The 14752-nt window shown below is 36.0% G+C and overlaps 1 protein-coding gene across 7 annotated transcripts in view; it reads right to left on the bottom strand.

Moving 5' to 3' along the window:
* Nucleotides 1–14752, bottom strand: part of ANO3 (anoctamin 3) — a 474482-nt gene that overhangs the window by 15431 nt on the left and 444299 nt on the right. For all 7 annotated transcript variants that reach the window (NM_001313726.2, NM_031418.4, XM_047427399.1 and 4 more), the window contains 6 exons: nt 13544–13655; nt 12789–12846; nt 8618–8715; nt 5830–5963; nt 4525–4677; nt 3–150 (listed from right to left, as the gene is read on the bottom strand). In NM_001313726.2, coding sequence (NP_001300655.1) covers nt 3–150; nt 4525–4677; nt 5830–5963; nt 8618–8715; nt 12789–12846; nt 13544–13655 — 703 coding nt within the window. The remainder of the gene's footprint in view (nt 1–2; nt 151–4524; nt 4678–5829; nt 5964–8617; nt 8716–12788; nt 12847–13543; nt 13656–14752) is intronic.

Here is a 14752-nt window from a genome sequence, read left to right as displayed (position 1 = left end):
ACTTTTCACTTGGTTCTACATGATTTGCACAGGGGCCATATTTGTATTCATAAACAAAACGTGGGATGTAATCAGAAGTAATAGCAATTACAAATGCATTGGTGATCACAGCCAATATACCGATTCCTTCGAGAATTCCAAGCCAGATACCTGGTAAGAGAAAGATTAATCATGGTGAACAAAAATGAAGAATATGAAAACCCTGTAATTAATCTTATTTTGGAAATAATGTTTTACTTATGTTGGAACCACAGCTCTGTCCACTATGTGCTTTCTTATTATACTATCTCAATACAGACATTATAGCTATCGAATACACTTTTTCCACAAAGAGAAGATATATCTCGTCTAGAAAGATTCAAAAATTGAAATGCCATTAGGACTAGGTTCATGTCTGCAACAATGAGACATGGCACAGGTGCACAGGTGCACAAGATATTTCAAAGTCTAATTTACAGAACTTGCTGAGGCAATAAAAATAGTACATAAGAATCTTCAAGTTCTTCATGGTTATGCACACTGTGAAATATCTGCATTCACTCTGGGGTTTGTCTTTATCTTTGTCAAATGTCTTTTTAAAGTAAAAATACAAAAAAAGCAAAACTAGTCTGGTGGTAAGAACTGAAAAGTTCTAGTAGACATTTTTTACTTCCTAGGAGGTCAATCTGGCATCATGAAAATACATACACACAAAAAACTTTTGAAGATGTATAGTATATAGAACTAGTATACTATTCATTATAGTCAAAACTAATGTTTTCAGTGGGATTAAACTTAGTTTTAAAAATATGTATGAGAAAAAAATATCCTGGAAAAAATGCTCTACAGCACTAAAGGTGATTATGTAGCATGCCAACTTTCTTTCCTCCCACACTTGGCATTTCAAAATTTTTATGAAGTACTACATTGATTTGTAATTAAAAATAATAATTTAAAAACATGTTAAAGTTTACTTGATGAGGAGATCATAAGACAAGAAACCGATAAAAATCATATTTGAGTACATTAAAATTAAACATTTATTTGTACAAAAGTCACAATATTTAGGCAAAAGAAAATATTTTGGGAGAAACTATTTGGTTTACAAAAACCGACAAAGGGTTAACATGCCTAGTATACAAAAAGATCCTAAGATGTTAATAAGATAAACCTAGAGAAAAATAGACAATAAAATGAGCAATTTGCTTTCTGAATTAAAGTAACTGATAAAAAGAAGTTTAAATCACTAGTATTCAGAGAAATGGCACTCAAAAATAAGATTTAAAAAAATCCAATAGATTGACAAAGATTTGAAAGTCTTACAAAATCTAATGCTATTTAGGGATTGTGGAAACAGAAACTCCTTTACAGTGTGACTGGAAGTGTGACTTGTTACAACATTTTTGGTAATTAATCTGATACATCTTAAATTAAAATATGCAAACATTTTAATCCTACTTATTGGGATCTATACTACAGATACACTATGCAAACACATATATATGATATGTACTACATATGTAATAACTATGTACATATTTATATTTATAGCTATGACTGTATGTTTATTCCTGCTTATAGTGGGAAATAAGTAAATGGTTATAAAATTTATGGTGTATCAGTATTATGAATATTACTATTCTATTAAAATAAATTAGATGAATATGTTTTGAGCTGGAGAATGTTCATGAAGAAAAAACAATGCAGAATTCTACATATGTGTACAAATATATTTTTTGTATATTTCTATGAGCAAGAAAAACAATGGCAAAGGATAAATGCCAAATTGATAGCACTGATTCCCTGAGGTAGAAGAGAAATATAAAGGTGAAAGATTACTAACTGTTTTCTTTATACACTTTCGTGTTGTCTGGCTTGAGCAAAGTAAAATCCAGTAGTTTAGAAAACACTTACCTATCTATGGGAAGGTATAGTAAATGCTCACTAAAGCTGAAATGGAAGTTTTTTAAAATTTATTTTCTAGATTTTCTTTAATGTGCTTATATTATTTTTATTTAATTTTAGGTTCTGGGGTATATGTGCAGGATGTGCAGTTTTGTTATAGAGGTAAACGTGTGCCATGGTGATTTGCTGCATCTATCAACCCATTATCTAAGTATTAAACCCAGCATGCATTAGCTATTTTTCCTGATGCTCTCCCTCCCTCTGCCCCCCAAAAAGGCCCCAGTGTGTGTTGTTCCCCTTCTGTGTCTATATTGTTTAAATAATGAAATCAATAACATCACCAAATTTAAAGGACAGCAATAATTTTAGTTGCTTAAAATATGGGAACTCAAATTGCATTGTATTCAGTCTTTACAGATAAGTATATTTTAAATAAACTTTGATGACAGTATAATATATAAATGGGTAAAATTAATTAAAAGGATAACCTTGCAGTATTAGCCAGAAAATCTCCCCTCCCAAAAAAAGACATGTGGAGCTGCTTTCCAATATAGTTGGAGTTTTTATTTAAAAACTATAGTTTATTAAAGCAGTATATGTAATAAGTAGCTCAATGGGAAAAGTGGATTATATAAATATAATTAAATTTATAGAGAATGTAGTATAAAATAATAGAAACAAAATAAGTTCAAAAATTGAATTATTTAATAAATGGTTTTGGAAAAATTGATTAAGCATTGGGGAAAAAAATCCTGGACCTCAATTTTATCAACAACATATTCCAGATAAATCAACAATTTAAATGAACAACAATTAAATGCATCAACAATTTAAATGAAATAATAAAATGACAGCAAACAACAAGCAAATACACAAAACAGAACAGACATATCTAAATAATGAAACAACAATAAATACAACAGGTGAAAAATCATTAGTTCTAAAGTACCTTTTTAAGAATGTCAAAAATAATAACTATGAGAGATATATGTCAATTGGATTATATATAAAATTTAAAACCTTATCCAAAATAAAGTGAATAAATTGAAAACCAGCATCTCTGTTTATATATATATGTACACACACATATATTTATACACACAGTTATAGTATGTATATATGGTATGTGTGTGTGTGTGTGTGTGTGTGTGTGTGTGTGATTAGTATTCCCAATAAATATAGGGCCAGATTACCAAATCAGATTCAATGGCCACCAAATGACCAAAGAACATAAACACAATTAGCAAAGAAGGAATACAAATATACTTAATCTCACGGTTAGAAAAATGCTAGTAAATAGAACAACAAATTTTTTCCTCTTCAGATTCTCAAGGATAGAACAACAATCCAAAAATCCTTTTTATATTTGGAGTTGTTGCAGAAATAGAGAAATGTACTTATGATGACAGTGTAAATTGGCACAACATTTCTGGAGAACATGCTGCCAAATTACATATCAAAAATTTAGATGTGCATACTCTTTGAACAGGTGCTCCAGTCTAGAAATGTATCCTGAGGAAATAATCTGGCAAACTATATGTGAATATGATCACTTCAGTATTGTTTATAATAGCAAAGTACTGAAGCAATCTAAACATCTCTGGCTAAAGTAGTATTTTTAAAAAATGTCATATACATATCATAGAAATTTGTGCAGGAATCATACAGAATGAGGCAGAGCTGTGTCTATTAACATGGAAAGGTATATATGAAATCCGTTTTAGTTATGACCAAGTTTATGAAATAGCATATTGGATGTAAACTTAATCTCAACTAAATTAATGTTCCTTTTATTATTTTCATAACTAAAAATGTTAAGTTTTGTTACGGTTGGAAGGGTGTCCTCACAATAGAAAACCACATGGTGCTAAGTAGGACCAGCTTATGTTGTCTTAGTGCCTTTATGCTGCTATAATAAAATACCTGAGACTGGGTAATTTATAGCGAACAGAAGTTCCTTGCTGTTTTGGAGGCTAGGAAGTCCTAGATAAATGCACCAGCAGGTTCAATATCTGGAGATGGCCTTGCTTCCAGCTTCCAAAATGGCACCTTGCTGCTGTATCCTCTGGAGGGGACAAACGCTGTGTCCTCACATAGCAGAAGGTAGGAAAGCGAAAAGGGGATGAATGCTGTGTCCTCACACCACGGGGAAGTGGAAGAGAATGAAGTCACTCCCTCAAGCTATTTTTTGTAAGAGTCCTAATCCCATTCATGAGGGATCATGGCTTAATCACTTCTTTTTTTTTTTGAGAGGGAGTTTCACTCTGGTTGCCCAGGCTGCAACCTCTGCCTCCCGTGTTCAAACGATTCTCCTGTCTCAGCCTCCCGAGTAGCTGGGATTACAGGCACCCACCACCATGCCCGGCTAATTTTGTATTTTTAGTAGAGACAGGGTTTCTCCATGTTGGTCAGGCTGGTCTCGAATTCCTGACCTCAGGTGAACTGCCCACCTCAGCCTCCCAAAATGCTGGGATTACAGGAGTGAGCCACCACGCCCGGCCAGCTTAATCACTTCTTAAAGGCCTCTTAATACTATGACACTGGCAATTAAGTTTCAACATATGAATCTGGGGGCACACTCAAACCATAGCAACCTATTGGTGTTAGCAACGTAAAAATCATTTAACTTCCGAATCTTACCTATGTCAGTTGCTCGGGCTGGCAAAGGCCTCCGCCATTGAGTGACAAATTTGTATGCATCCAGCCTGATTTCAATGATATTGTTTAACAAAGCCAAAAGAGGGGCTAGAGGAAAAGCCGCAACAAAGATGGTGGTAAAACCAAATTGCAAAACTGCAAAAGAAGAGCATTAGGAAATTACTATATAAACTTCCTTTGTGACAAATTTGGTGCTTTATATAAATTGCTTTTAATGCTTTCAACATCCTTACAAAGTAGATAGCTTTATCTCATTTTACAGTTAGGACAACCTTATTTCATATATGTTAATTAAACTTGCTAAAGGGTAGATAGCTAGAAAATGTTGAAACCTTTATTCAAATTAAGTTCTGAATGTATTGAAAGTCTATGGGCTTTCCACCTCTATATAATGCAGCACGAAGGAGAGAGAAAAAGAAGAAATAGAGGGAAGATGGGAGACAAAACAGAGGAGGAGGAGAAGGAGGAGGAAGAAGAAAGAATAAGAGATGGAGGAGGAGGAGGAAAAAGAAGAAGAAAGAGAAAGAAGAGGAGGAAGAAGGAGGAGGAGTTAAGATTCAGAAGTTAAGATTCAGACGGAGTCTGTGCAAAGGTTTATTGTGAAAAATAATTATTGCTTTGCGTGAGTAGAATGGTAGGTTTCTTAACATAGAAACTGGTTCAGCTGGCCAGGTGCGGTGGCTCAGGCCTGTAATCCCAGCACTTTGGGAGGCCAAGGTGAGCAGATCACCTGAGGTCAGGAGTTGAGACCAGCCTGGCCAACATGGTGAAACTCCATCTCTACTAAAAAATGCAAAATTAGCCAGGCATGGTCATGTGCACCTGTAATCCCAGCTACTTGAGAGGCTGAGGTAGGAGAATCGCTTGAACCCAGGAGGTGGAGGTTGCAGTGAGCCGAGATTGTGCCACTGCACTCCAGCCTGGTTGACAGAACAAGCAAGACACTGTCTCAAAAAAAAAAAAAAAAAAAAAAAGAAAGAAAGAAAGAAAAAGGAAAAGAAACTGGTTCAGCATTATTTTGTTTGCTTCAAATATTTGCTCATAAAATAGGTGTTCCACTGTGAGAAAAACTTTCATTTTGGTCAATGCATGACTCTCAGAGAATAAAACATGTGAATCTGCCAAGAGTTAGTATCTCTAGCTCCTTGAGATGAAGGTGCAGACGTGTTTTAGAATGCTTGGGGTTGGAAAGGAAAGAGATAATTTTCTCTGTTGAACCAAAGCTTCTGTGAAGTAGAAAAATTGTATCAAGAAGGCCAAATAGTCCTGCAGATTTTTTTTCCTTACCCATTTCTAAGTACTCATCCATCAGTCCATGAAGGTTCATGGGCTGCAGATTCCAATCATTTTCCCACTGAGGTATGGAAGCATCATGTATTCCCCGCTTGATTTTATGTCGTGACCACCAGTTCTGGATCAACCTACATCACAGAGCAGACCAAGGACTTTTGAGCTCTGATTCAAGCATCTGGTTAACAATGTATAGTGAATTAAGAAATGAGTAAAACCAATTCCAGCTCCTCGGAATTGGAGGTATTTGGTTTTACCTTTTATAAAAGTTTTTTAAAAAAGTTAAAAAAACATTTTGAAAGCTTAAATATCTTAAAAAATTTTTTTTAAATCTTTTGAAAAACTTTAGCATAGGAGAGTAGGCCCCAGCCTTCCAGAACTCTCCTAGGTCCTATAAATATCTACATAATTATCTAGGAATTCAAGCTCTATACACTAAAATGGTCCTTGACATTGATTAAACAAATATTCATTTCTATGATTCCTTCCCCTCTCCCCACCTATAGAAATACTTAAACTTCTTTGTTGCCTGCTGTGATTAGGTCTGACCCTTTCATTGCTCATAACCTAAAATCTTCAGAGCTATACTCTCTGAACAGGAAAAAAATCATGTTTCACATAAACTAATTGACCCTTGGGTAGGATTTCAAAAGATCTAAGTTCTAGTTCCCATCCTGCAATGCATTAGCCGTGTGATTTTTAGCAAGTCACTTCACCTCTCTGAGTTTAGAAACATGAGGAGTCTAAGTGTTAGTGATTATTATATTCTGCTATTGTAGTGAACAATAATTACTAGGCAATAAGTCTGTGTCCGTGAGTCTGCTTCTCACACCTGAAAAGGAAGTAACAATACTGTTTTCTTAGCCCAAGTACAATCTTGGAATTATGTGACTCAGAAATATCCTGGTATGCACATATTGTGGCCTTCTGGGTAATGAATTATTTAAGAGGTCAGTGAAAATTACCTCCAGGACAAGGTGAATTTTACAGGACTCAGTGAACAGTACCCAACCCTCAATTTTAATCACGGAACCTAAGTGGCAGTTGGAGGAGCAACCAGAGAACAAACGTCAGGCAGTGGAGGTTGCCTCCAGAGCCTCATGAAGGTGAAAAAGGGGCTGGAGGTGAGAGTTGAGGCGATCTGCTTATTTCTATTATATGTATTTAGGTTCTGTTTAAAGTTTTGCTTGAAGAAAGACAATTGTGGTTTACAAGAGTTTTGCTTTAATGGCTGGTCTACTCCCGCTCAATTTTCTTTAACAAAGCCTTTTCCTAGATATCGGGAAGGGTAAGATGTGCCATGGTGCCCTTAGGATTTGATATATGTGATCCAGACTGACCCCTAGCGCAAGGCCATAATGAAAATGTCCTGTCTAAAGTGCACCAAGTGTAGCAGTCCATGAGTAGTGATAATAAAAAGAAACAACTTTTTTATACTGCAATGACCCCTACATCATCTTGTTGATACTTATGGAGTACTCACAGCATGTTACATTCTGTGCTAGGCACTTGACATCTAATTTCCTATTTCTTTCAAACAATGTTTCCTAAAACCAGTTTTAAAGAAGTGACCCAAGAATAGGAAGGAACACCACAAATGAACTGGGCTCCCCAGTCCTCCATCTTCTATTCTCTCTTTGTTTAGGAGAGATTTGCTTAAATTTGTTTTGAATATTAAGTCTGTATAAAACTCTCTTCACAAAAAGGTTCTGTCGTTTATGATGAAGGTTTAAAAAGCACTGGGTCATCTCAGTTAATCTTCATAAATATCCTATTTTATAAATGGACTAAAAAAGCCTAAGAGATGTCAAGGAAATATTAAGCAAATTTAGCAAGGAAGAGAGAAGGAATTTAAACCAGGTCTGGGTAATTCCACAGCCTATACTCTAAGGCTGCCTGTAAATTAACACAATACTTTATAGCAGATTGCAGGGTTAATATCACTTCTACAACCCCCAGATCTTTGTTCAAGAATGTTCTGATAAAATATGTACCACCACAAGAAAAAAAAAGAATATAATTTGATATATAACCCCAAGCTACTTACTTCATCAACCAACTAACCAGTTCTTCCCCAATAGTCAGGAAATTATTCAAATAGACATGTTTTTAGTTGATTAGACTCAAAGCTTCAATATTACATTGTTTTAAATACCCAGTATTTTGCCATATTTTAAAGGAAAGTGTATTTTAATATATGAGAAAGTGAGCATTCAACACCTCTGTAAGCATTTCACAGGCAGCTAAAACATCTAAAATAATGAAAATAGAATGCTATTGTTTTGATGTTAGTACAATCATCCCTGTTCTAACATTTTTTTCTTAGTTGTAACAAAGAGAACAAAGCTTCTCATCCAGGATTTGATCTTTGCTTTATTCTTTTGGGAGGAATGAAGGCTGTCTTTATTAAACAACAAACTTGGTCTGCTGGTAGCAAAAGAAACACCCCGGAAAATTATTTTTATATATACAATCCGTAATGTCAATCATGTTTTCAAACTAGTAACAAGTGTCTTAATGCATTAAACAAGTTACTCTACATTCATTATTCTGTTTAACCCTTACAGCTGTTCTTGAGGTAGATATATTGTTGATACATTCTTAGTGAAAACAGGCTCTGAAAGGTTTAATTTACACATGGGCAGACATTTAGTAAGGAGCAGAACAGGAATTGAGCCATCATTTGTCTGATTACCAAGACCAAATTCTTAAGCACTACTCACGCCACCTCTAGCTTTCCTCTTTGTAACTAGACATAAGGCAAGTTTGAAAATAATGTGCTCACGGGTATCCTAGTTCCATGAAGTTGTTCCATATTTGCTTCAAAAACATGATGACACCCATCTGGAGGCAGAGGTCTATCAAACAGCCACTAGGATGACACTGAAATAGAACATAAGAGCAATAATGATATTGGTCTTCTTCCCAGTAGGCTCAGACATGCCCACCATTAAATTGTACAGCAAATTTTAAAGCTGGGTCACACCATCTCATGCATAAAGAAAATAAAAACAAGAAAGAAACAGCATGTATGAGGGCACTTGATGAGGGAATTCTTCAGTAATTATAACGAAATATCAATCAAAATTATAATAGCAATAACAAAAAATCTAACTTTTAGTGAGTACTTACTATCTGCCAAGCTCTGTGTTAGGCATGATCACATTTAATGAATGCTATGGAATATTATATATCCATTAACAATCAGGTAATAGAAAATAGTTAATTCTATGGCATAATGTTTATAATATATTGTTTTTAATAACCTTTTTATTTCAGAATAAGTTTAGATGTACAGACAACTTGCAAAGATAGTACAGAGTTCCCATACACTCCTTACACAGTTCTAGCTGTCGCTCCATACATTACCATGGTATATTTGACAAAGCTAAGAAAATGATATTAGTAGATTACAATTAGCTAAACGCAAAGCTCTCTTTGGATTTCACCAGTTTTCCTCTCTTTGCTCCAGGATCCAACCCCACATACCCTATGGTATTTATTCTTCCTATCTCCCCAGTCTCCTCTGGTCTGAACAGCTTCTCAGTTTTTCATAACTTTAAATGTTTGAAGATTGCCGGATGTGTACCCTGTGGAATGTCCCACAATCTAAGTTTGTCTAATGGTTTTTCTTATGTTTAGACCAGGGTTATGTGTTTTGGAGAGACCAATCACAAAGGTGAAGTGCTATTTTCCTCACATCGTATCAGGGATATATGAGAAGCACATGACATCACTGGTGATGTTAATTGGTTAGTGTTTTCCAATTTTTTTTTCCACTGGAAAGCTGCTCATTTTTCCCTTTTTCTGTTCTATTTTTTAGAAGGGAGCCACTAAGTCTAGCCCATTCTCAAGATGGTGGGGAGGTGTTGAATTCTACCTCCTGGAAAGGAAGTATCTACCTATATTATAATGCATTTTTAAGTGATAAATGCAACACCACAAAAATAATTCATCAGTATGATCCTATTCTTTCGTCTGTGCTTTTCTGCTTTTTTAGATTTTCAATAAGTTAGTATTAGAGACCCATACAAACAAAAACGTGATTTCAACAAAAATCACAACCGATGTGTTTTACTTGAAAACTTTGCAGTATTCAAGATATTTGGGTGGGAAGGCGTGGGTCTGTTTCTTTAGAAATGGGTACATGTCCTGCTCATAAGGAAGACAGTCTTCTCTATGGCTTTGATCCACAGTTTCTATTTCTATCAAATTGGTACTAGTGGAACTTCAAAGAGAACAAATAAGACACAAAGAGCCTGCTTTTCCTGTTCCAGCCCAGTAATTTAAGACTCCCTAATCTGAGCCTGAGAGAGGATTTGCAAATGGTCATGCTTACTGCATGAAGAGGTCTAAATTCTCGCATCCAAGCAAACCTCTTTTTCTAGGATGAATTTAGCATTTCCTGAACTCTCCCAAATATATCTGATAAATGGGTTCACTGGAATGACTGAGGCAGAGTAATTATTAAGCTACGGGGGCAAATCACAGATCACAGCTGCAAGCTGAAGCTCTTCATTTTTGTAGAGACTCAGAGGCAAGCTGACTTGCCCAAGGCCATACAGTGTTGACTGGTGCTGTGGAAATGAAAGGCTTGTCCCCATTTCCCCAATCCATTGCTCTTTTATATTATACTAAGGATGAATTCCATTTACCAATGTGTTTGCTGCCTTGAAGTGTGGGTTTAACACAAACATTATTTTGTGGGATGGGAAAAAGAAGATGATCATAGGATCATGTGATTGGTTCGCTACCCACAAAGGATAGGCCAAAGTGGGGTGGCTGGAAGACAGGCCATTTATAATTTTGTTGAAATTAAGCCTTGATGACTTTATGATTTATAAGGAAGAGAAGGGGGTCCAATAGTTTTTGTGGGTTTGTCCATTCACATAATGGTGGTCTTGCACTAAAGCCAGTCTATCAAAACTCTAAATTTCATTTGGTAGAAAAAGCCCATACTTGGAATGTGTAAAAGGGCATGAGTGAGTGTGCAGAAGACACAGGCATTCATTCCAATTGCACCACCCAAATCATATCACCCTGGACAAGCCAAACTAGATGCTGTAGTGTATTTTTCTCTTACTCCTTGTGAGAACCTGGCAGGGTAGTTGTTGGTATCTTCACTCTGCAGATGATAAAGCTAAGTGACAGAAAGAACTGTCAGACTCCAATACCCAGGTTCCTTCACTTACTTTAGTATGCTTACTCTAAATCCAGCATAGAAGTGTGAGCCAGCAATCAGACAGCAATTTCTCAGCAAAATAAATTTTCATTATGTCTTTGATTATACCTACACGCCATCCTACTCGTGGCTGGAAAGCACAGTGTTCAGAGCACAGACTCTGAAGCTACACTGAAAAGATTTAAATCATAACTTCATCAGTGTTTATGTTTGTACAATTGTAGGGAAATTACATTTGCAATTGCAGGCACTGCACATCTGTGACTTTGTTTCCTGATCTGTAAAATGGATATAATAATAGAACTGTGAGGATTAAATGCATTAATATACAGAGAGCACTTAGAAACAATTGCTGGAGTACACTAGCATGTAGTAAGCCCTCAATAAATCTTAGCTATTATTAAAAACTTTTTCATATTGATTTCATAAAAAATATTAATGTGAGATATTATATAGTTGTAGTAAAAGATTCACAAGTCTAGCTTAGCCAGTTCACAAATATCCTAAAACAAACCATAGCACTTTTTAAATTTTGTAATTATGGCTATCATTAATTGTAACTATTATTTTACATACACAATCTAATTTAATATACCAATCACCAGTATTACTGGGATAGCTATTCTTTATTTTTTCTGTTGTTTAGGGACAGAGTCTTGGTCTCTCACCCAAGCTGGAGTGCAGTGGTACGATCATGGCTCACTGCATCCTCGAACTCCTGGGCTCAAGGGATCTTCCCACCTCAGCTTCCTGAGTAGCTGGGACTAGAAGCATGTGCCACCACACCCGGCTAATTTTTATTTTTTTTAAATAAAGACAGGGTCTCACCATTTTGCCCAGACCGGTCTCAAACTCTTGGCCTCAAGCAATCATCCTGCCTTGGCCTCCTAAAGTGTTGGGACTACAGGTGTGAGCCACAGGGCCAGGCAAGATAGCTATTCTTATCACCAATTTACAAAAGAGGAAACTGAGATTTATAGATATTAAATCATGCATCTGGGTGGGAAGAATTAGAATATAGACTGCCAGTCTCCAAAGATAAAATATTTGTTATGTTTTATTGCTATGCCCTGTTCTTCAAGGCTATGAACAGAAATATAAAATGTTCAAGAAAAATATGAAAAATATTATCCATCTCATTCATAATTATAGAAACTAAAATCACTGGCTATTAGATTGGTAAAAGTGAAAATTCTACCATTGGCTAAATACTGAAGAAGCAGGCTCACACAGTCTAGGTAGGGGTGGCATTTGGAGGCCCATTTCTCAGTCTCAGTGAAAATATACAATATGCTTATCCTGTAACCCAACAATACTACTCCTGGGCAGTTTTTCCATATAACATACATATTGTAAATCAATAAAGAAATATGAGTCTTAGGCAGGTACTTTTATATAATTACATGTTGGTGTTTCCAGTATGATGTCTTTTGGACTAAAAGGAAACCTAACATATTTAAAAGTTTGAAAATTTACCTAATGAATAATAATAATTTAAAAAAAAAGGAAAATTACTGGAGCTAAATTCCTGGGGTCTGTAAATAAAAGAAATTGATGTGATTAAAAAAATAGAGCTGAGGTGAGAATCTTGGGGTTTAACTTTTCAGTTCACCCCCTTTTTTGAAAAGATGTAGTTGCTTCCTTTCTGAACAATGTGTCGTCTTCAATATCCATAAAGTTCCCTGAACTTCTCCTTTCTTCAGCTCCCTTCCTCCCGCAGTAACTGGCCCATATCCATGCCCATTCCTGCACCCACACTCCCAAAGTTACTTACTTCCTCCAGTCTCCACCGGTCAAAAAGTTTATTGTATTTTCCTGGGTGGCCTACGAATCTGTAAGAAGACATTTTAGTTCATTAGCATTTAAGTGGGGTTCACTGAAGAACATCTACTTAGGCATCACAACGAGTGCATGTGTGGGTAGACATAAACGCTCACTGGTGCAATCTGTCCCCAGTTGACTTCTGCTATCTTAAACATCAAAGTATCTGACTTACAAAGGAAAAAGTGATGCGTGAACTAATGGGTCAAGAAAGTACAGACAAACCAACTGGATGACATTTCCGACCCTCACATAGAGAGTCTTAACGTTTTGTTGACCTAGTTAATGACTATTACAATAATGTGCTGCATTGTTTGATCCAAAATGTTTCTATCTTTAGTATGTTTCCATGGCATTGGATGGAGTGTTAAGCATATGGCAAAGCAGAATCATTAGTTTAATATGCTGCTTTTTTCATATTTTGCACTAAAGGTGGAAAAATGTTAAGATGATAGGTAGAAGAGGTTTCCACATTAAGGAATTATAACCCAAGGTCACACAAAAATTCTTTGCTTCTTTAACAAAATTGTTACTGATGATGAAACAGACATAATTCAGCTCAAATGCAGCAAATAGGTTTTATTTTTTTGTGCCAACTTTAGCTGCTGGTGGCTGTCAGAAATCATTTGAGTAAGAACAGTAATCGTCAATTAAACTATTGACTGTGTTTTTCACTCTGCGAAGATAATGTACAAAAAGTTGACTTACCTTCCCAAAAAGAAAGCGATATAGAAGATGGAACTGTTTAAATTGACAAACTGGAAGAGGAACATCTTCAGGGCGAAGCTGTTTTCCCACTCTGATTCTGTTCGAGGATATTCTAAAAGGAACACAGGTTGCATTGACACAGGTGAGGTGAGGTGAATATCAAGACTCTGGACATGGAGGCAGAAACCCCAAGTTCAAGTTTGTCTTTTTAATTTAATTTTTTTTTTTTTTTTTTGGAAATGGAGTCTCACTCTCTGTTGCCCAGGCTGGAATACAGTGGCACAATCTTGGCTCACTGCAACCTGTGCCTCCCAGGTTCAAGCAATTCTTCTGGCTCAGCCTCCCAAGTAGCTGGGATTATAAGCGCCCGCCACCATGCCTGGCTAATTTTTTGTATTTTTAGTAGAAGTGGGGGTTTCACCATGTTCGCCACGGTGGTCTCGAACTCCTGACCTCAGGTGATCTGCTGGCCTCGGCCTCCCAAAATGCTAGGATTACAGGCGTGAGCCACCATGCCTTGCCAAGTTTTTTAGTTCTATGAGGCACTTAGTTTTGCTGATTTCTAGCATCTGTGTCTGTAAAATGTGAATGATAATATCTACTGTTCACACTTGATGAAAGGACTTCGTAAGATAATCTTTAGACTTTCCCCACATCTACAAAATCATGTTATTAATACATAAAGATTTTCAGGATTCTCTCTGCTATCATCATTTAGTAGTAACCATACATAATGGATCAATCATTCACTCAAACTGGCTACACTCAATATAAGGGCCTAAACTGTCCACAGAGTTCTCTGAAGAATGAATATTTTGTGTACAGACGGAAGTGGAATGGCAAAGAGAAAAAATGGTAAAGAGGTAAAGAGAAAAGAGAAATCAGTTAGGAGAGCTGAGCTCTTATCTCAGCCTTGCACCTGACTGGCAGGTAATCTCAGGCAGGTCTCTTCACTATTTTTTTGCAGTCAGTTTGGTCATCTATAGAATAAGGGATTTAGACAAGATGATTTCTAAAAACCCTGTCGACTCTAACATCTTATGGTTTTATAATGCTTAAAAGAAAAAAATAAGGACTGCCTGTACTGCAGCCTTAGTACTCAAATGAGTGATAGAAAATAGATACGTCTCATCTAACATATATTTTAACGTAATTGAAGAATTCAATAAAGATGGAAAATAGATAGGATCTCATTTAAGGAAAACATAC

Source organism: Homo sapiens, chromosome 11 (genome assembly GCF_000001405.40).
Source record: "Homo sapiens chromosome 11, GRCh38.p14 Primary Assembly".
Classification (NCBI taxonomy): domain Eukaryota; kingdom Metazoa; phylum Chordata; class Mammalia; order Primates; family Hominidae; genus Homo; species Homo sapiens.
This window is presented reverse-complemented; position numbering and strand designations above follow the sequence as displayed.